At 43.4% G+C, this 23825-nt stretch overlaps 1 pseudogene, besides 1 other annotated feature; it reads left to right on the top strand.

The window, feature by feature from the left end:
* The first annotated feature begins 1112 nt into the window (after positions 1-1112).
* On the top strand, positions 1113-3133 carry ATOSBP1 (ATOSB pseudogene 1; annotated as a pseudogene).
* Positions 19925-20598: an enhancer, noted in NCBI's record as "NANOG-H3K27ac hESC enhancer chr3:113932583-113933256 (GRCh37/hg19 assembly coordinates)". NCBI's record gives its function as "activates a minimal SCP1, AML or CMV promoter by ChIP-STARR-seq in naive H9 embryonic stem cells {active_cell/tissue: H9 hESC(naive)}" and the evidence as "EXISTENCE:reporter gene assay evidence [ECO:0000049][PMID:30033119]".

Raw genomic sequence — 23825 nt, 5'->3', positions numbered from 1 at the left:
CCCGCCACCATGCCTAGCTAATTTTTTGTATTTTTAGTAGAGATGGGGTTTCACCGTGTTAGCCAGGATGGTCTCGATCTCCTGACCTCATGATCCACCCACCTCAGCCTCTCAAAATGCTTACAGGCGTGAGCCACTGCACCTGGCTGATAATAGTTTTAAAATGATGAGCCAGCATATATATAGTTGAATACATGTAAAAATGAGAGTTCAGCATAGGCTGCTCTTCAATGAACATTCATTTCCTTTAAACTGCTGGTAACATAAATGCTCTTTTGCAAGTGGTTAAGTTTTAGATGGCTGATTTCTATTTCCCTGGATTTGATCACAAGAAAGCACCAAACTGGTATTGATGTCAATGTATTTTGTACACACATTTGCTAGCCACAGTTGATTTGTGTTTGCTACTGAATGAATGTGATCTGGTTAGCTTTGTGATATACGTTCGTGTTCCAAATGAAGAGAACTATAGCTGCATTTTTCCCAACATAATCGTGCCATGCAGTCAGACCTGTTTTCCAGTAAAGAAAATGAGTTTGATATCTGCAGATCATATCTTACAATTTGCTGTGTTCTCCCTCACAAAATATGTGAACATTTGTTAGCATCATTTCATTTAGGAATCATATACCATCAGAAATATTTTCCCTATTAGAAATAAACAGGGAGTGCAATTTTCATATAAACAAACCTGTAACCCGCTGGTAAAACTCTGTTCATGCTTTTCAGTTGTAGTACTTGGCCCAAAAATGTTGCACCGCCATCTGGGGCAATTTTGTGAGCGTTATTCTCTTCTTTAGCAAGAGAAGTTGACAGCTGTGCCATGATATAAGTAGATTCTGTCCATTTGGGGTCAGTTCCTGGAAGTGGACTGTGAGTAAGATGACCTTATTGGCTTAGGAGGAGAAGATGTCACCTTGGGAAGATCTCTTTTCTGTGAGAGTCATTGAGTAGTCTCTCATGTAAGTCTAGACTGAGCAGGCTTCACTGTCCTGGGAGAGATGAATGCAAGACCTTTGTTGTTTGCTGTGGTTTTAAAACTCTGCCTCTACTACCACCTCCTCAAGTGCAATGAGACTAACAGAACTACAGGGTCCTGTTGAGCCCAGGAGCTGCATGGAATGGTGGCAGTCACTTTGCTAGTGCAGTGGGCATGAATCAGACTGCAAGCTAGAGGAACAAGGCATCAGTCAGGAAGAGGGGATGCACGGCTAGGCTTGAGCCCTCTTCATCCAGATGTCCCCAGACTCCCCAGCACAGGCCCAGCATAAAGGCCGTGTGGGGGTGACCCCCCTGACCCAAGGGGGACTTCATGTGCCACATGCAGGCAGAGCTGTCTCCATCCTCAGAGCCAGAGGCTGGCCCTTCACAGCCTCCAGTCAGGCAGGGGGCCCTCCGGGGTGGCCTGCTCATGGACTACAGCCCAGCAAGTGGGGGGGGGGCAGGGGGCAGTGACATCCCCCAGGCTCTACCAGGTATTTATCTTTTCCCCTCCAGCTGGTGCCTCTGAGCTTCACAGGGCCCAGAAGCGACCAGCCCCACCCACTAAGGGTCCTCAGGAGCTGGAGAGGGGCCCTGGGCTGGGGGCCAGAGAGGGACTACCCCCTGAAGAACCATCTTCTGTAGGGCTATTGGGCCCAGGGGGACTGGGGCTGGGAGTAGGTGTGTCCAGCCACCATTTCTCCCACCGTGGCCTCTGTGTTGTGGAACAGGGAAGTAGTGCCACCTCTTCTTGGACTTCAGGGGCCTGGAGTCCCTCCTGGCCCCGATCATATGCTTCCTGAAATACTTTACACACCAGAGACTAGGCTTTCCCAGACCCAGGGGGACAGGGGTCCCTAGGGGAGTCCCCAGGGCCAGCCCTCTGGGCCAGCTACACACGCTGGACACTGATTTGCAGTTTTGCACAAATAAGGGGTAAGAGCCCAGTGGCTAGGGTGGGCAAGAGGGGGAGCCTCTGGCCTAGGGAGTCCCCTGGCATTGACAGTGGGCACAGTCCCAAGCACACACCCCCAGCCCTGGACCTCCAGGCCCCTGCCCCACCAAGCAAAGGCTGCTTCTGCTGGAGAAGCCCCAAATGTCAGTTCTAAGGAAGAGGGTCCAGCCCTTTGGACGTGCCAGGGAACCCTGGGCCACCCTACTGCTACCAACAGTTCTGATGCTCAAACCACACCCATCTGGAGCCACCTGCTGCCTGGGCCCAAGGAGCCTGTTTTGGACCCAACAGACTGCAGTCCCATGGGGCGGAGGCTGACAGGTGCCCATCACCTGAAGCTGAGCCCACTTTGAAGCCTCTGGAAGGGGCCAGGCCTGCTGAGCCCCCGTAGTGCCTCCCCTGTTCCTACCCCTGCTATCAGCTGTACCCTGCTGGGCAACTTTGAGGAATCATTGCTGCAAGGACGCTTTGCACCATCTGGCCACATTGAGGGCTTCACAGCAGAGACTGGAGCTAGTGGGTCCTACTGCCCCCACCATGTCACACTGCCTGTCACTGTCACCTTCTTTGAGGTTTCTGAGCAAAATGCCCCCACCCACTTCCTGGGCTTTGTGGATCTGAACCTCCTGGGGAGGAAGAGTTACAGCGTGCCCAAAGTGGGCACCACACAAGTAACATTTAACCCCAACCAGACTGTGGTGAAGATGTTCCTGGTGACCTTTGACTTCTTGGACATGGCTGCTGCCACATGCCCTTATTGTGCCATTGCCTCTTTTTGGTGCCTGTGGGTGAGGAGAAAAATGCTAACCCCACCTACTGCCTCCTCTGCTACTCGCTGCACCTTGGGTTCTGGAGCTCCCGCTCAGGCCTCTTAAGCCTGAATGGAGATCTCTGCCAGCTTTTTTCCTGCTAGAGCCTGGAGCTGGACGCAGGGCTCCCCTGCGAACTTCAGGCTGTGACTGGGGCCCCTCTTAACCCACGTTATTCACTTTTGCCCTGATTGCCATTACTCTGAACCAATGTGGATCAATGACCTGCCCATCTTGTCCATCCCATAGATGGAGAGATGGCAAGAGACCCTTCAGGCTCGAGTTAAAGCCCTCACCATGCTCATGCCTAGATTGATCATTTGGGTATTTAGAGCTTCTGATCCTTACTACAACCTGCCCTACTTCAGGTCCTCCATGTGCCTGTCCCCTCCCTTGGTTCTCCCAGTCCAGCTTAGGTAGTAGGGAGGAACCAGAGCCACCCTGAGGTTATCCCAAGTTCCCAGGGAAGTCATGCCAGCGTTGCCTCCCTGTCCTGAAAAAGAACCATTTATTATTTTATTTATTTTTAATTTATAACTTATTCAAATTGGATTGACTTAGTAACCTCCCACACCTGATCATTGGCGTCACCCCTTTTCCTTTCCCACTCTCAGATATTGCTCCAACCTCAGGAGTTGAAGAGGCTTATGCAGGGGAGCAGAAGGAGAACTGCTCTCCCTCAGCTGAGGGAAGAGGGGTTATTCCAGAGGGACTGAGTCAGTAGCCAAAGCTTCAGCTTGCCTTGTCCTTCCCCTAGTCCCTTCACTTCCCCTACCCTCTGACCTAGCTCTGAAAGCCAAATTATATGTATGCATGTGTGTACAAGCTTGTCTTTGTGTGGTATGTGTGAGAAAGAGAGTGTGCATGTATGCACACACACAGAGGTTAACCACCCCTCACCTACAGTTCCAGACTCCAGTTGTCCCTTTCCTCCTACCTGTGTCTCCTTACTTTGGGGTGTGACTGAGGAAGGTGTCCAGGAAGCAGAGTCAGGTCCAAGGACTGGGGTGCCTCCTTTCACCTGGCCAGACTCTGACCCACCTACCTCATCTGGGCTAAGGGGCAACTCTCAGACTCAGTCATGTGGCTCCCAACTATCCCATCCCCCACTCCAGACTCTGACCCAGCCTCAGTCCTGACTCCTGGGGCTGGGCTGAGGGGAACAAGCATTTGCTGAAACTTGAAAAAACAGAAACAGGAAAAAATTGTACCTGGTACTTTTTTTAGAAAAAAAATTTTTTTTAAAGAAAGAATAAATTCTTGTTTGGAAACTTGAAAAACAAAAACAAAAAAAGACAAAACTACAAAAAAAAAAAAAAACCTGCCTCTACTCTTTGAAAGCAGGTGGCCACTCTAAGACATTGGGACAGTAATTCTGCATCTGGGGGTAGTGGAGGTAGTTGATGTGACCCACTGCTTCCTGGGAGGTTATAATTGTCACTCAAGAAGGTTATAAATTAAGAGACCCCAAATGGGGTCTCACTGTGATTATGCAATGATCTGGATTTGTTAGAGAGACCTTGTAGTAAACAAATATCCATGGAATTTTTCAAGGCAAAATTCAACTGCAATACACATGGCAGTGAAAAAAGTAACTGCACCGGGTGGTATAAACTGACTAAATTTCATCTCCCTCTACATCTCACATTGGAAGGAGATCAACCTGCTTTGGAGTAAGTGTTCTTGGACAATTCAATTAAAGGGCATGGGAACCCTCATAAGAAGATGCTGAACTTCAGGATAAGGAGGCATAGGAGACCACTTATGTGGTTAACTGCAAAAATAGGGAAAATGTCCATATTTAAATTCCAAGTTTGTGGGGCAATTCATTCCAGTTACAGGTGAAAAGGCATTTTCCTAAAGCTAATAAAACATAGTCATTTGGGGCATGTAATTCTTTAGCTATGACATTTGGCTTGTTAAATATTTTCCAATGAAGGATTTTGAATGTATATCTCTCCTTTAATTTTCATTAATGATGTTGAGAAGTAAGCTATCAGTTTATTGTCATTTCTTTATAGGTAATTTTTCTTTTCTGTATCTTCTTTTGCAATCTATTTATCTTTCATATTCTATAATTTCAATATGGTGTGTCTAAGTGTGATTTTCTAATTTATCCTGCTTGGTGCTCATAAGGATTTCTGAATCTCAAGATTTCTTTATTTCTCCAATTCTGAAAATTTTTCATACACGATAACTTTGAATATGAGTCTCTCCCATTATCTCCATTATTACTCTCTGTAGATATATATTACAACCTCTCACTTTATCTTCCCTTTCTCTTACCTTCCATATTTTCAATCTCTTTGTTCCTCTATGCATTCAGAGTAATTACTTCATATCTACCTTCTAGTTCATTAACTCTCTTTTCACCTGTGTAACTGAAATTTTTAAATTCCAGTGGTTGTATTTTTTATTTCTGCAGGTTCTAATTGGTTCTTTTTTAAAAATCGGCTTGATAGTTTCTTATACTTTCAATACCTCTTTTATATTTTATACTCAACATCACTAATACCTGAAGTTTCTACAGGCCTGATTCTTGATGTTTCTTTTGATTACCCCCCACCTCCCCGTGACATCTTGTTTCCTCCTTTATTTTGTGATTTTTATTTTTGAGCCTATATTAATTGAAATTATATCTTAGGAATTTTTTGAGGCTTGGAATCAAGGTGCATGCCTTCAGGAGAGTTTGTGTTTGCCCTTACCAGGCACCTGGAGACACAGTGTAACCCAGAATATTTTGAATTATCAGCTTAGGATTTCTCAGCTTATATAAGCAATGGGAATTCTAGACTTAAATCCAGTGGGAGTAACTCACTGTTATGAATCTTTCAGGAGAAATTTATCCTTCCCACCATCCCAAGGGTAATTGTATTTACTGGACTGCTCTTGAGGGGCACTTTAGTTCCTATTTCCTTTTTTCACAGAAGATGTCACCTTTTAGGAGAGCCAGCTTTCAGTCTTTAATCCTATTTCCCACCTTGCTTAGAACCTGAGATTTGTCTCCTCTCTCCCAAATATGGCTTTCTCTGTATTTGTGCTTTCTTGTCATTTTTGGCCTCTAAAAATTTTCCTTTCTTGCCAATAAAACTATGCATTTTTTAAAATATATAATTTTTTCCAACTTTACTTTCTTTTTTAGGTGCTTTGCACCAGAAGGATTTTTTTAATATCTAGTATTCATATTGCCAGAAACAGAACTTCTATTTTTCATTTAGTTAGCTATATCAAGTTTCCCTAGCCTTTTGAATTAAACCAAATGGGAAACTTTAACAGGGAAGGATTGACAGACAGGTTTGCCAACTTTTTATTTCATAAAATAACAATAACCCAAAAAAAAGCAAAAAAAAAAAAACCAAAAACCCTCCTACTTTTACCATCATTCCATAATGGAATGTTGAGGAGACATAACAGAAGTGGCCTTTAATTTAAATTTACTTTATTCCACACATTGCAAAAATTGGTGACAACTTTGTCACAGACTATCATTGGTCCAGGAACTGGCATTTGGGAACCACTGAGCTATGTCACATGCCATGAAGGTCAGTCTATCTGATAGTATACTCACTATAGGATCTATTAACTAGAGGTGCTAACCACCACCATCACGCCAATGGCCAGACGAGCTAATGCCATTAAATTTACTTGTTTGCAGTTGAACAAATAACTTCCAATTTACAAGAGAAAGAAATAAAGCATGGGAGCTAAAGTTGAAATCTTGAATCTCACCTCTATTTGGGAAAATCATTCAACCTCTTACCCTCAGTTTCTTCATCTGGGATAGCAATACATTACCCATATGGATATTTTGAGGACTAATAGGAAAGTTCGTTGGGATTAATAACTTCTCTATTATTCCCCTCCCTGATAGAATACAAACTAAATTTCCCCCAAAAGGAATAAGCTCCAAACCATATACAGTAGGGCTTTCTTTTCGATATGACTCTAGAACAGGCAGTGTGCCCAATTGGTTCCTTTCTTTCCTACCATGGAGGAAGAAGTTTTGGCCAGCTAAGAACTGTAGGAGAATAAATTTTGCTGGCAAGAGACATAACCTCACCAAAATTTAAACTCCATGGAAGCTGGAACTTTGCTCATAGCTGAATCCTCAGTACCTATTACAGTGCTTGGCACATGTAAATGTTCCATAGATGAATGAGGAATAAGAAATAAATCAGATCCCTACAACAAAATTAGTCACAATAAAACTGCAATCAAAATTACCCAACAGGAGTGGGAACCCTGTGTTCCACTTCACAGTCTTCACCCTCTTCAACCCTCTTCTCCCCGCCTCCCAATTTCCCCTGCCATGCAATGCTTCTCCAACAAGTTCTGCACAGTCCCAGAGGCAGAACCTGGTTTTGGGAGAAAACAGGCAGAATTAAATTCAATATGCAGAACCATCTTTTCAGGGTCCTTGCAATCTGTGCACAAGTCTGTCATGCTATAACTGCTTGTATGGTGCTCACTGGTGGCTCTGAAGACCTTCAGGAGCATCAATCAACTGTACAGAGGATGGTCAGCTACAAGCTATGAATAACAAGACTAATTAGCATTCATTGACCATTTTCATTATGCCAGGCTCTATGCCTGTTTTATATGTATTATCTCACTTCATTCTCAGTGAAACCCAAGGTAGTTACTATTTTCATCCCCATTTTCTAGGTGGTGAATCTGTGGCATAGAAAGGTGAAACAGTTTGTCCAAGGTCACAAAGCTGATTCTCTGCAAAATCCATGCTCTTAACTGTGGCGCTATATAAAATACAGATTTTATAGCACTTCCAAGTCTTTGGCATGGGTTGTATGTAAGCATATTCATATTGTGATGTGAATTTTCTTAAATAAATCTCATTCCTTTTGATTTTCTTACACTGGGATATAACTTGAAAAGATAAATATGAAAAAAGAAAACCAAGTCTAAAAGTGAAAGTAGAGTTTGAAGTGACTAGAGTAAAAAGAACAACACTGCTCTTCCTCCTTCAATTGTCTTCTTCCTCCTCTCTGTATCTCAGTCCTGTCTCTCTTCTTTACCACCATCACCCCTATCTGATATAATATCACTTCTTACCTTCACTACTACTGCAAAGGCTTCCTAACCGATCTGCCTCCACCCACTTTCACCCACCTCCACTGCCCCCCGCACCTGCCACCCCATCCTATCAATACTTCAAGAAAGCAAGCAAGCATAGGATGTTTTAAAAATCACCAGAGCAGTTTTTAAACACTGCCCTCATTATGGCCATCCTCCTGCCTAACACCTTTTTCAATTGCTTTCTCTTACATTCAGGAGAAAAGTGAAAGTCCTTAGCAGGGCCAACAAGGCCTTTCCTGTCCAGGCCCTGCCCCAAGCCTCCAGCCACATGGCCTCTGCCCCTTGTTACTTCTACTTCAGCCCCAGGGCTTGTGTACTTCCTGTTGTCTCTGCCTGACCAGCTCTGCCATCGCTTCTCCACCCAAGGGAGTCTTTCCTATCTTCCAGGATGCTTACCATGACCTTACCTATGCAGAACACCCATGTGCCTGCTGCATGACAGGGGCTCAGTAGATGTAGTTAAGTGAATGAATAAAGGAATGAATTTCTGGTGGTCCACATATCAGGTCTGTGGACACCTAGTTTTAATATTATATCCTCCTGAATGATGAGGCTGGAATTCTTTCACTTTTGGCCTCTGCCATGATTGGCTTAGGATATAGGTCCAACCTGGGCCTGCAGGTGGGTCTCATGACCCAATCCCATCAGGGAAGACAAAAGCCAGGCCTATTCAGAAGGAAAGCTGCTCAGTGAAGTAATCAAATGGAGTGATCTGTGTCTCAGTTAAAATCAACAAGTGACCAGGAAGCCAGGAAGACAGTGGGTGATGCGCATGTGTCCTCATGATTAATGCAGCAACAGGCCAACATCATGACTTCTAGCAGAATTAATTGGAACAACCAGGTGGCCATTCCTGAGTTCCTGCTCTTGAAACGTCAATTGCTTTCTCTGGACACTGAAACTCAGCTGCTTGTCTGAACTCTGTACGCCCATTACGCTTCTCACATCTCCCACTGTACTCCTCATACTCTCTGCCTGACCCTTCCCATCACATCCTCGTGCACACCATGGCTGTCCTTCTCCAGCTTCCACAACCTTTGAAAAAGTAACCAAATTCCCCCAAGTCACCAACCCTCAGGGGCCAGCAGGATCCAATATTCCTTCCCCAAGCCTCTCAGCATATTAACTAAAAGAGTGGCAGTTAAGTATGTTTTTTGGGCTTCAAATCTGGTTAGAATCTAGAAAGGATATGGTCCTGTTGCAGATACTATGATTGGCTTGCTTTGAATTTATTATAACCTCATTCTCATGTTTTCCTGTGCTGAAGAGGCCAGGAAATCCAAGACTATGTTTCCCAGACTCCCTTGCAGCTAGGATTCCAAAAGACTCTCCAGTATGCTCAAAAGAGACTTGAATTCAAAACTGAATTAAGAGGAAGGAAACATAGAGCTCATATCTGACATGAACTGAGGCAGAAGCAGCATGTTCTGTAGTCAGCAGTTTCTAACTCAGTGATCTCCTGCAGCAGAAATGTAACTTTTCTGATTATGGATGAGGCTGTATATCTCTGAAGGCTAGGAGTTCCTGGATGCTCACCCTAGAGCCAGCTCTTCCAGCCCCTCAGATAATTCTGTAGCCACTTAATGTTTGCTAATAAATCCTGTTCTGCTTAAATTAGCTAGAGTGGTTTCTGTTGTATGAAGCTGAATCCATCAGTACAAGCCCCAAAGAGTGACCTGTAGGCCTTTGGGAGACTAGGCATAGACTTGCTGAGTCTTCTTGGAGACCTCGTCCCAGGGCCAGGTCATTTCTCATCTGTGACAATTAGACCCTGGGCAGCACCCTTAAGATGTCACAACTTAGCAAACTGATGTCCAGCTTTTAGTGACACCAGGCTAAAGGATCATTCCCAGGAAGAGTGAGTCAATTCACCCAGGAGCCAGTCCCTATGTTTTTGCCTCTAATTGCCTCTCTCGCTTTCCTTATTTACTGGCTTTGCGCTTCCTTTCTTATTTGTCCATGATCAGCAAATGGACTCTTCCAAGGAACTCCTCATCCCTACTTCTAGGGCTACAAACCGAAGTTGTAGGCTGCTTTTACCAATCACATAAAATGTAAATAGTTACCCCTCTATATGCTCCATTGCACTCTGTATACACTCCAATGTAAAGCTTGTCACATTATATTATCATCATGTGCTTGCTTCCACTAGACTATGTCTACATGAGGGTCAGGTCAGGGCCTATTTTATGGAGTACTGACTTCCTAGTGCTTAGTACTATGCTTTATATGCAGTAGGTACTCAACAAATAGTTCTAGAGTTTTTTAATGAATACATAAATGTATGATATAAATGTAGTGTTTCTTACAAAATTTGAGAGACTTTTTCTAACTCCTCTAATCAACGAAACCTTACTACAGAGAGAAAGAGAACTGCCAAAAGACTATCAATTGAACAAATAGACTATTCTGAAATGATAACTCACATAAAAAATTGCATAATCTCATGCATCCTCTGGGGAATGTTAAAATTCTACAAAGTTATTGTATAACTCTATGAAGCTCTTTCCACATGTTATGATTTTCTTGGGCTTAGAATTGAATATATCTCAATATTGTATATTAAGGTATAATTATAATGAGATATTTGAAATCCAAAATAAAATTCTTTGACCATATCAAAGTCCTCCTTGGCAGTTCCTTCTCTTGAAGATTGACATTCACAGATCTCCAGTTACACCCATGTTCCTGCTTACAGTTAGCAACACACAAATGAATAGCAAATGGTGTCAGAAAAACAATCCTGAACACCTGTGTATGTTTGTTTGCTTTTGGCATTTCATTCAACTGCTAGTTATAAATTAATTATCATAGTCAAAATTAATTTATTTCCCCTTCCTCTATTTCCCAGTAGTACTTTCTTTATTCTGCAATTACAGCACCTAGCACATTTTCCCATGTATTGCAAAACTAATGTCTGCTCAGAACTCTACAATTTATAAAGCACTTATTACATATATTTAAGTCATCTTATTCTCACTACAGTCCTGTGACTTAGACAGAGCCAGTATTAATAAGAAATGAGAACAGAAACCTGAAACTCAGAAAGGAAAATCCTGGCCTAAGTAGGTAGCTAACAAATACCAAAGTCGGTTTGAGCTCAGGCCTTTTTGTTCAGGGCCTATATGCTTCATACACACTTCACGGAACAGGAAATGACTATAATCATTTCCTCATGGAAAGTCACAATGTGCATAGCTTTTTGTAAGCTCTGACAAATGCTACATTAAGAAAACATATTTAGGTTTAACTTTGTCTGTGGCTTACCTATTAACATCCTGTAGCATTGAGTTGCCCCGCATACTGGTTTAGGAACTGCTACACCATTTATTCAAAGATTAATAGAGAGCCACAGCTATTACTGAAATGAGGGTCCTAGGTGATCAATTAGCTTAACTCACTAGCTAGCTGACTAGTTCTCATACACTAGGCTCAAAGCACTTGGATTCAAATATATACCACAGCATTTTATAAATGATATTTATTATATTAATACAGGCTGTGAATCTACTACACCATTACCCAAAGAATGTGTCTGTAACCACCTGAATCAGAATCATGCAGGGTTATTATTAATAATTCATGAAGATTCCCAGCCTCCATGGTAGAGATAGCAGATCAGAGAGCTCATCTTGGGGAGGAGACACAATAACATAAGATGCTGAGACCCAGTCCACTTAGTAGCCCACTATTTTCCCAATCCTAGGTGGAATAGTAGCCCACTATTTTTCCAATTCTAGGTGGAATTGTAGTCCACTATTTTCCCAATCCTAGGTGGAATAGTATTCCACTATTTTCCCAATCCTAGGTGGAATAGTAGTACACTGTTTTCTCAATCCTGGGCCTGCATATCATAGGTGTTTAATAGATTCTTATTGATTCTGCTGCTTTTAAATTCTTATGACCACTAAAGTTTGAGGACTGCTGGTCACCTATATAACAAACTACAGTAAGAGAAATAAGTATAGACAATAAATAAATGGTAAAAGAAAATAAGAGAGATAAGTATGAACAGTGTTAGGAGGGACCAAGTTAAAGGTAATCAATTCTGCATAGAAGGCTCTAGAAAGGCATTACAGAGCACATTATAGTTGAATGGGGTCATGCAGAATGTTTTGGAGCTAGCCAATCAGAAAAGCAACATAAAAACACCATCCATGGGAGAGCAGGCACTGGCTTGGAAAGGCAAAGATATCTTAGGTATCAGATATAAGCAAGTCTCCCATGAGAGCTTAGGGGCAGGGAGCAGAGGGCAAAGGTGAGGGGAACAGAAATATGTGGGAGGTGAAGCTATCTGTCATGACTGAGGCCATAGCATCTTGGATGTGGCCAAGATGCTCTGAAGCATCTTGGATGTGGCCAAGATGCTCTGAAGCATCTTGGATAGTGACAATGCATGTGTGTCTGCACCTGAATTCTTAGAGCTGTGATTGATCTCAAGAGCAAACTGGCATAGCTGCCATCTAAGCTAACATGAGGGAAGGCTGCTCTCAGACATGAAGCTCCCATAATGCTCACTTGTTTTTCGGTGTATAGTTGTCTTTATATGACCAACAGGTGACCCTTTTTACCTACTTCAGGCCTTTCCTGGTACATTAACCAGTCAAGTCAAAGAGCCTAAACATGCTGAGACCCTGAATCGGCCACTGTGGCTTTCAAATACACTGGATTGTCTGGCCTGTGATTTATCTGAAAACGAATCACAAATGGAGCCATGAGTCATTTTCAGCAACCGAGGCTTTAGCGTCAAACAGTAAATTCTGAGAAACCAATTTCCGCTGTGGGCAGAACCCAGCTCCTGGTGTCTAATCATTTGTCCAAGCCTCAGAATGGAGGAAGCTGATGAAATACTGTGACGGGTCCAGCCTGGACAGGATTTGCTTAGGGGATTTCAAAACTTGGAAGGAAAAGTGGAATCCCTTGTCCCTACCTCTCAGTGGAAAGGGGTGAGGACAGGCCCTTGGCGCACACATTCATTCTCCATTCCCAGAGAATTGGGCAGGAATAAGGCCTGCAGAAGAAAGGAAATGACTGCTGGACCACAAGAAAGGTGGGCAGGAACTGAAACAAAAGGTCATTCCAGATCTTCTCCCTGTGGCTCTCTCTCCTGTTCTCTAACAAGAGAAGAAAAGCAACCTGAGCAAGTCCAGCCTCTACTCTCCTCTTTGCAGCAGCTTGTTTCTGCCGCCAGTTGGGCTCTTTCTCTCCAGTCTCAGAGGAAAACGAGGAAAGCATAGCCCTTTGCTCACATCAATCTGTCTACCTGTGCCCCTGAGCTTGATCTTTCCACATCCAATAATAATGGCCAACACTTCCTACACCCTGACCACACCCTTTACACAAAGGGTCTCACGCAATACTCCCAACAGTCTCATGGACTGGAATACTGTTAGTACCTCCATGTTACAGAAGAGGAAACTATGGCACACAGAGGCGAAGTCATTCATCCACAATCATCATCCCCTGCATAGATGTAGAGCTGGAATGTAAACCCAGGTATTCCGACTTCGGAACCCATAGGCTTAGCCTCTACACTGCACTGCTTCCCAGGCAGAAATGAAGCTTAATCATAAAAGCTTCATTTACAGAACACAGGTTCTCTATAGGAAATTTGGGAAAACATAAAGAAGGCACAAAAAATAAATAAGTAAAAATCACCCACAATCCCACCACTTCTACCTTTTTGAGAAGGATATAAATTAAAAAGTGAGAATCCTTTCTTATTTCTGACTTCAGCACTCAAATGTATCCACTGTCCTCTCAGACTGTTTTCCTCTGTTTATACAATTACATATAGGCACATGCACACATGTACAGTGTTTCTTAATAAGACTGCACACTGCACAAGATTTTTTTGCACATTGCTTTTTTCACTTAATATAACACATCTATTCAAACCTTGTGAAATGACTGGTAGTAAACCACTGCTGCCGAACCATAATTTATTCAACAAGTGCTATAATAAATTTGTTTGTCCCTATATCTTTATATACCCATGCTAGTAGTTCTGTAAGATACATTCCAACAAGTGACTGGTAAGATGTGCATTTTCATTTTGCTAATTGTCAAATTACACAGGGAATCCTTAACTCTTTATAATGGCAAAAAAAGAGAGTCGTTGGTAATATGAATCTATATTGTGATGAACACTACACATTGTTTATTTAAGCGTTATTGTACACAAGACTGAATCAGTGATATAAAAGGGGTTTCTCATGTACATTTCTAACCCTTCTTCACTGACAAACTGGAGAAACACTTTCGCCTATTGTGGGTAAGAAAATGTGTCTCCTTCTGACCCTTCTGGAGTTCTCCTACTGTGACATCCTTTTTCTCTCTGACAAATGGGTGCCGTTCTTGCCCACATTAGTTCACATTGTCTCTTTCTTGTAAGGTGACTTTATTTTATTTACTATTTTTTTTGAAAATATACATTCTCAGCACCTGCACTTGTTCAAAAATACTTCAAATGCCAAATCCTTACCAACAACTCTCCTCAGATGGCTGCTCCCTCCAGTACAGTCTGCCAGGGAAATACTTGCTGCTGATTTTTCTGTCCGCTTGCCTGACCCTGCACCTCTGCTCTCTAACTTGCAAATCTGAGGGCTCTGTGTTATGTAGTCAGCAAAGAGGAGGGGAACGTCACTCCTTTTTCAGGAACAGAACATTCCAGATTGAGCTGAGATTCAAAACAGACCATTTGACTCTTCCTGGTCAATGTCTTCAACTTTCCACCTCTGTCTGTTTGCCATCCCTCCCAGAGGGATTTCCCCCTTAGCCTGCTAGCACACTCTCTGCCCTGTCAGCCAAACACGCATCTCCTCAGGGACCCTGCACTTGTCCTTCACCCACTGTGGTCAGATAAGCCCAGGAGTCCCACTCTTCACACCTTTACTTGAACCAGCATCTCCATGCATTAATTATGACCCCTGCCTGAGAGGCAGTGTAACCTAATCCAGAGCATGTGGGGCTTTGGAATCAGAAAGTTTGAAGTTCAAATCCTGATGCTTAGCCCTGTTGCCTGTGTGATCTTAGGCAAGGCATTTGACTTCCCTCTTCTTCAATTTCCTCAATTATTAAATAAGTATAATAAAAAATGAACTCACGGGAAGGTTGAAAGCATGTAGTATATATTGTCTGACACACGCAGACTTGTAACACTTTGTAGCTATTCTTAATATCATTCCACAGCCAAATTTTTCAGATGAGGCGTTATTGGTAATGTCATATAAAATTTTAGGATTGTTTCAAATTTGGGAATTCTATCAAGTTTCTTTCATACACGAGCCTTGAAAGAGGCTCCAAATCTTAAAGCTTCATTAGCTTCAGAGTAAACACACCCTCTGCAGGTGGTATGTGATGAACTGGGACACTTATGCATGACTGAAGGTAGTGTGACTAATACAGCCCTTGCACAGAGGGTCGCATCTCCACGAAGGGGACAGCCAGGATCTACAGTCTTTAAATACTTGTTCAGTCTCGGGAGACTGCTCTGCCAGCCTCCACCATTCTCAAACTGCGACGAGGGAGTGACTCAGATGAGGCCAGGTAGCTGGCCAGCCAGCTGGTGTGCAGTCACATTTGCAGAGAAGTCTATTTGCACCGAGGACATGCCAGGCGTGTTGTCACTCATACTAAGGTTTTCAACCTGGGCAAGTTATGAAATGTGTAGAGATTTTTGGTTATCGCAGTGCCTGTGGATGGGAGACTCTATCAACATGTAATGGGCACAGGCAACAGGTGTTCTATAACCCTGCACTGCCAGGGGCAGTCCCACCCAATAAAGAATCGTTCCTCCCAAAATGCCAATAACGCTCTTTTGGGAAACCATCTGTAGGGCTTAGACTTCAACATGCCTTAAGTATTGTTTCCCATCTCGGCGAGCTGGGCTAGAACATGGGATAAGCTGTTGGGACTCCTTTTGTCCCTCAGCTTGGAGGCTAGGTTACAATCATAGATGCCCCCTCCTGTCTCCTTCCCTGGACCCTATCTCCGTTCCCATTTGACTTCCAATGCAGAAGGAATGGAAGCCAAATTGATACTGTTCAATCTATAAAGCTTTGACTTCAAACCCCTATGTAATACCCTTGTAGGTGAGCTGTAATTTGGCATCTTGCCTCCAAGCTTATACACAAAGAGAAGCCAACTGAAAGAAAAACCAAGCCACCGAATCTTGGGATTCCTCAGGGGAATACCGCTCTCCAGCACCATTGTCCAAATGCCACTGATTCTCCCCCAACCCTGATCCCTTCCCCAGGGCTTGAAGTATGCCAAATATGGGAGGCCCCCTAGGTCTTATCAGAAGAACTCAAGAAAACAATAATTCTTGAGTCAACACTTCCTGAGTGCTCACTATGAGCCAGGCTCTGTGCTATTTTATATACACTATGTTACTTAGTCCCAAGTGACATAAAATAAAGCTCACATTAGAAAAAGACAAGACAATTTGTGCTAGTCCGGTCCCTTGGCATTAGTGGTTGAGGATTTCTTGAACTGGGGTGAGGCTATGCCCTGGGCCTTCCACACTCTCAGAATCCCTTAGGTATCTAAGAGGCTTGGGAAGGCAAAGCTGTCGCATTCATGATTTGGAGGCCCACACAACGAGGATTTATCTTTCACATGTCTTCTGCCATTAACAGAGATAAATCCAGGTATTGTCATTAGAGTAATGGCCTCTGTGAGTAAGAGGAGCTAAATAGAAAGTCAATGAATGTCAAATATCTTGAAAAATCTATTCACCATGAAGTCACCTTGTAATGTGCTCTCAGGAAACAATAACATCCATTTTCAACTCAGACACTACTCTCTGTGGTAAATAATATCACTAGGTGATTGTACCCTGTAAGTCCCCAGAAATTGTTTCTAATTATTGTCAGAGGCACATCAATTACCAATAGAGCCTCCAGGCAACCCTCCTCATAGCCCTGACTAGAAACATGTTTTACTTCCACTTCTTCTGTCAAGTCTCTCAGCTCCCTACATATTTAATTGTTCTGTCTTGGCTGTGGGCCTGTTTTCCTTACCCTCCTCTCTGAACTGTGCCTCTCATGGCTAAGTCAGCATCTGTGCTCACCCTCCTTGAGAAGCTCCTCAGTACCTGCCAAAAGCTCATTCTGTCCCTTCAGAAATACTGGGGCTCTGGTGACCTAGATAGCTGATAAAACTGCTTCAATTAAAAATCTATCCATACTCACTCTGCACCAGGTACTGTGATAAATGCATTTCAGACATTGCCTCATTGAATCCTCAGAACAACCCTGTGAGAGAGGTACAATTATTATCTCCATTTTGCATTTGGGATAACTGAGGCATACAGAGGTTAAATAATTTTCTGAGTCACATAATTAACAAATGGAGTCTCTGCAACCATTCAAACGTCTTCTCCTCATTCCTTTAGAGCCCTAGGTTGGAGGGTAAGTTGAGTGTCTTCCTTTCTGTTCATCACCACTTCTAAGCCATTGTCCTCCCTGGGTCCTTAGTGCAGTCATCTCCTGACCTCGCTTTCCTCTGACCCATTGCTTGAAGATGTCAGTTTGGTTGAACCCCTTCCAAAGCTACTTATATTGTAATTCTTGGTGCTTTCAACATCCTTTTAGACTTCACAGAGCTGGGCTCCAGCAGGGCATTACTCACATAAAAAACAACAAGAAAACTGCCCCCAGAGATGTACCGGACCTGCAGGGAGATGCTCCTCCCAGAGTGCTGGCCCCCCAACTATCTCACCTCCTCTCTCCCAGTGATTCTGGTTCTACTCTACCTTTGCTAGCAACACAAGTTCATGCCCCTGCCTAGTCATCATCAACAACTACAACTGCAGCTGCACCATGTTTCACCCTCTCCCTCTCGGACCTCCGCCTCCTCTTACCAGCTCACCTTCTCTAGTCTGCCAACTCCAACAATTCGTGGACCACACAGAGACCTAAAAACCATTGTTCCTGGAACCTTTTTATTGTCTTTCACTCCCTTCATTCCCTACTTCTCTTCCCACCTAGTTTAGATTTCATGGACCATGATGTGTTACTCACTGCACACTCCTTCAACTGCCTCAACCCTCTCTTTCTTTGTCATACTCAGCTGACAAAACTCTTGGCCAGCTCTCCACTTCTCCATGCCTGTACCAAACCAGCCAAATATACCCAAAGAAAACAACCATGCTGACTGGTCTCACTTTAAAGTTATCATCACAAACCACAAGTGAGCCCTTAGTGTAGCGTGGCAGCCTACTCTATTTCCCTAGTCAACTCACTTTTCCAGGACTATTTCACATCTTCCTCTCTCTCTTCAAATCTCCAACACATTCTTTTCCTCCACACTGTCAGCTGATAACTTTGCTTCCTACTTCACTGAGAAAATCGGAGCAATTAGAAAAAGAACTTGCACAAGTTTCTACCCTCACATCTTTCTACACTATGTCCATGCGTTTACCTTCACTCCTGCTGCTCTGGATGAACTGTGTATTTTCTACCTAAAGCCAACCCCTCCACTTTGCACCAGATCCCAACCCCTCACGCCACCCAAGGACATTGCTTTAGCATCATCTATTTTCCTTCTCTACTGAATCAGAACTAGAATAATGTGAGAATAATTAATAACATGGATCAGAATAACGTGATGCTATTTCTCCAATCAAAACCACAAACAACAACAGCAACAAGAAATTTCCCTGGGATTCCACTCCTAAGTCAAACGACTCCATTTCTTTCCCCCTTGCAGCAAACTTCTTAAAATGGTTGTTCTTACTCTCTCTCTCATTCTTCTTGTCTTCTGTTGAAGACATCTCAAGTAGGCTTTTGTTCCCTCCACAGCATCTCTATAATATTCTATCTGAAATATTATACATTTACTTGTTTATTTATTTGCATTTCTACACCTTCACTAGAACCAAAATTACAGGAAAATGTGGAATGGCTCTTTCCTCAGCATCTAGAATAATGTCAAGTTCACAGTGGGCACTCCCTTAAATACATTTTGAGTGGAGGAATGAGTTTGGGATTTGAACCCATGCAGTGTGGCTCCAGTGTCATTAAGTCAGAATGGTGGAAGAGGGGCATCCTTCTCACCAGGGACTCCAAGAACTATTTGAGAATTGGTAAGGTTGGAAGTCTCCCCTAGTAAGGGCAGAGCCAAAAAAAACAAAAGCTGTTTATTATAACCCTATCTTGCCCCATCTCTGATAGGCTGAGAAACCCACGTTACACATCTGTGTTAATGTGAGAGCTGCAAAACACCCCTGTATCCTGAGAAGATGTGGTTTAACTTGACGTGTAACGGCATCCGCAGATACTATAGGGTACTTATGAGTCTTGTGTTGGTTTGCTGGTTTTTTTTTTAACTCACTAAATTCTATTTTAACAACCATGTGCTCACCCCACCTCCTGACCTAAGGTATTTTCCTTATCTGAGCACACCTGTGCTTGTTCCTAGGTAAATCTGGGCCAATGCAGAGTACTGTCTGCACTGCTTAGTTGGTAAATGTGTCTGTAGCATGACTATCATCACAACTGCCATCTGAGCAGCAGAGCCAGATGGAATCAGACCACTCATTGGTCTACTGAGGTAAGGATGGGCTTTTTAGCTCTGCTCTCTCTTAGAAACAAAAACAAACAAATCAAAAGACTAACTTTTTTTTTTTTTGCATTCACCTAGACTATTATGCCAGAACTTGCGTAAGAAAAACACTTCTTTCCGACCCCTGTAGTGATCAACTGATGCCTTCAAGCAGGAAACCTGATTGCCCTCATCTCAGGCTGAGTCTGTTTTATCAATCACAAAGTGACTCAACCCTTTTTTAAAAGCCAGCTGTGACCATTGACTCTGTGACCTCCTGTGGTGGTGAATTCAGTTTAAAAAATAATAATGTTAAAATAACAAAGCTTATTGAAGCTATTATGCTTCAATGCTCCACCCTTTGGGGGCTAAAGGAAATAAAGCAAGTTGGCCAGACCTGAGGAGTTGATGATACACATTTTCCTCCCCCAGAAGCATCTTGTAACTTGTCCCACACCAGCAGTGACTTCCCAGTATGGCGTTTCTCCCCGCTGCTCCCATCAGCAAGAGCGTGCTGACACATGGGCTGATGAGCAGTGCCGAGACTTATGGAGTGTGTCCTTCCTGCTTCGAACCTCACAGCCTGTCATCCTCTGTTGTCACACGCTCTTGCTCATTCGCTCGCTGCTCACACTAATCTAGAAGATGATCAAAGAAAAACTCCACTGACTCACCCCTGCCTGGACCAGCGCAGGGATTGGTCAAGCGTGCGCATTAAATATTACCAGATTCTAATCTATTATTTTCACCCGCTTGCTTGCTCTCTCACTCGTACTCTCTCACTTCCTCTCTCTCATTTTTTTTCAAAAAATAAATAAATGAATTCTGGGTTGGCTGAAGATTTCAGCAATGTGAGTGCTGTGCAGATGGATCCTGCTGAAGCTGGTGCTGGCTCTCTAGGGAGTAGCATGAAATGCTGGTTTTCAAAACCTGAGCAGCGTGTAAATGGCAGCTAAAAAGGAAATGCAGATTGGTGCTGAGTGTTAATTGTCTCTTCCTCTCTTCTTCACACACTTCAGAGACTGTGTGGTGGCAGGAGACAGGAAAGCAGGCCTGCCCCCTCGTGGGGTGGGCTTTTTTTTTTTTTTTTTCTCAAGCTGGACTGAGAGAATAACAACACCTAGAGTCCAAGTCAAAACATGGAATGGGTTTTTTTTTTCTTTCAAGTTTTCATCTGATGAAAGTCCGGGAGGTGGCACCGAGCTTGTAATGAAAGTAAGAGTCTGCTGAGAATGAGTCGATGAGGTGTGACACAGAAAGGGGAAGCAGGATGTCTTTGTTTTGAAATGACAGGCGATAAGCTATGGGGGTGCCTGGTGAGATTTTAGTCCATAACTAGGTAGCAACTTGTCAAATGCAGGCCCCTTAAATGCATCACAAGAATTCTCACTTGAGATGATTTCAATTCTAGCTCTGCGTGTGTGAGTGTGTGAGTGTATGCATGCACGCATAGCAAAACATAATTGAATGCCAAAAAACATTGTCATGTCCTGTTAAGGGTACAATTGTAATCACACTGGAACGAGAGCTCTAATTTCCTCCATTGCTTTCCTCGCTTAGGCAGTGACAAGGTCAGGTTTATGACCACAGCCCAGGCTCAGAGCCATTTATTTTCATCCCTGAAGACTCATGTTAGCCTTCTCCCAAGATGTTAATCAAGCAGAATCTTGATTGACTGTCTTTTCTTTTTACGTTTTTGTCTAGATGAAGTGGGGTCATTTGAATTTGTGCAGTTTTGAATAAGATGGGGGCAATAGAGAAGCAACTGGGAAAATTGACTAGCCTTTGGCAAGGAGAACAGAAGAATCTGGAATCCTTTTTTAAAATCATGAAATTCCTGTGCCCCACCTGAGTCACTGTAACCTGTACCTGCTGATGCCTCATTTCTCCATGCATTTATGAAAAGGCTGTGACTCCCTGCTGTTGTCGTGTGGTGCCAACATCATTCCAGCTTGCCAGTTGGAGACAAAAGATAAGCAACCACAAATGAAAACACATTATTGTCTGGATCCATTCTCACCTTCATGGCCAGGAATGTGAAGGTGAGCTGGTCCCCGCCCCTGCACTTCACTGGCAAGACCAAGGAGAGTGCAGTGGACGCTCTCCAAAAACATTGCTTCCTACTACTGCTGCTTGTAATGGAAGTAAGAGTCTGCTGAGAATGCTCATCTCAGGCTGAGCCATGTGTTTCCCATGGCAGCCTCTCTTGGCCCCTGTTCCTAACCAGGACAGAAAGAGATCTCAGCCTGGGATGGGCTGGATCTTGCTCCTAGCACAAAGTGTACTCACTCAAGCCGTGTGAGAAGAAGACAAGGAATGTCCTTTCAAGAAATTGCCTAGAATGCCAATTGGGGGAGGATGCAAGTAGGCTGGACCATCCTGGCTGGCCCCACCCCATGAAAGACCTTTCCTGACTAGAAATGGGGCTCAGATACGGGGCACAGTACTGGGCAGCCAGGTCTCTTTCCTCAGAACCATCTCCTGACTCTGATTCGTCACTTGCCCAGCCACCTTCTATCGATAGTCCAATTCCTCAAATCTAATTCCTTCCACAAAGGGCAGTGGCCCCCACATGCACGTCATCTCCACAGAGTTACCATAGAGTAACTACAAATAAAAGGGAGTAGTGGCGATTGCTATTGAAGAAGATGTTGGCTAATGGGCTCTAAAGCATGACTCAGTCTTCCCAAGCCTGTGTGCAGGGGAGGGTCTCTCTCCCAAGGGGAGCCCCCAGAATAGATGTTTACGGGATTATACCTGCTCTTCACAGAGGTAGATTGGGATGGAGCTGACATCTTTTTTATGTCAACATTAACTTGATTCCATTGGTATGCTATGTGCAAGTGAACAAGAACCTCAGGCAAGGTCTCGAAGCTGCTTAAATGACACTCACTACCTGTTAGAATGCATAAGGGCGCTGTTGTCACAGAGACTCTGCCTCTGTTCAGTGACAGCTGGCAGACCCATCCAACTGGCTCACATGTAGACTGGCTCCAGCCTGACCATGGCAACCAAAAGGAATGACAAAGTCGCTGCTGTTCGCTTGGCCCTTACTGCAGGTGACCGAAACAGAAATTTCTTAAATAAGTTCTCCAAATATATGGGACAGAAATCAGAACAGAGGTTGCTAGCAGAACAGAGAGGGAGGGGTAGTTGATTGACAAGGGATATGAAGTGATGGAAATGTTTCCAGAGTGATGGAAATGTTCTACATCTTGATCAGATGTAGGTTATATGCATGTCTGCATTTATCAAAACTGATTAGCCTGTGCACTTAGTGTCTGCATTTTACTGTAGGTCAATTATACTTTCATTATAAAAAAGCTATTCTATTTTTCATACAGGAGACCAAGAGAGGGGCAATTCTGACACTCCTCACCTCCAACCTACCTTTCTGGTACCAAGTGAAAACGGGCAGCCTGGAAGTTCCATTCCTGGCTCTGTGTGCAGTGGCTGATCACACTCAGAACTCAAAATCCAAATGTCTGCATCTGAAGCCCTGCCTGAGGCCCACCAAGCCTGTGACTTTCAGAAAGTTCCCTGATCTCTCTGAGGCTCTGTAAAATGGAGGGTAATGATCCTTGCCTACCCTAAAAGACCACTGCAGGAAACAAAAAAAAATAATGTTTTTATAAACAGGGAAGAGCTGCAGGAATACAGATTGTACACCATCTCACAAAGATCATCACTGTTTAGACACACACACGTACTGAAACTGACAAGTTCCTTGGTGTAGTGTTAAAATTCCAATTGGAAAATTTGCTATGAAAACCTCCATAAACAAGATATTACTAAATAATCATAAGTAGTGGTATGAATGTTACTCCACAGCACCCAGGTGTGAAATAATGTTATATATCTTTATTTCTTTAATCATATGATCTATTCTTTTTTTATTATTATTATACTTTAAGTTCTGGGGTACACATGCACAACGTGCAGTTTGTTACATAAGTGTACATGTGCCATGTTGGTTTGCTGCACCCATCAACTCGTCATTTACATTAGGTATTTCTCCTAATGCTATCCCTCCCCCAGCCCTCCACCCCTCAACAGGCCGCAGTGTGTGATGTTCCCCTCCCTGTGTCCATGTGTTCTCATTGCTCAACTCCCACTTATGAGTGAGAACGTGTGGTGTTTGGTTTTCTCTTCTTGTGTTACTTTGCTGAGAATGATGGTTTCCAGTTTCATCCATGTCCCTGCAAAGGACATGAACTCATCCTTTTTTATGGCTGCATAGTATTCCATGGTGCATATGTGCCACATTTTCTTTAGCCAGTCTATAATTGATGGGCATTTGGGTTGGTTCCAAGTCATTGCCATTGTGAATAATGCTGCAATAAACATACATGTGCATGTGTCTTTATAGTAGAAAGATTTCTAATCTTTTGGGTACACACCCAGTAATGGGATTGCTGGGTCAAATGATATTTCTAGTT

Source organism: Homo sapiens, chromosome 3, assembly GCF_000001405.40.
Source record: "Homo sapiens chromosome 3, GRCh38.p14 Primary Assembly".
NCBI classification, from domain to species: domain Eukaryota; kingdom Metazoa; phylum Chordata; class Mammalia; order Primates; family Hominidae; genus Homo; species Homo sapiens.
This window is presented reverse-complemented; position numbering and strand designations above follow the sequence as displayed.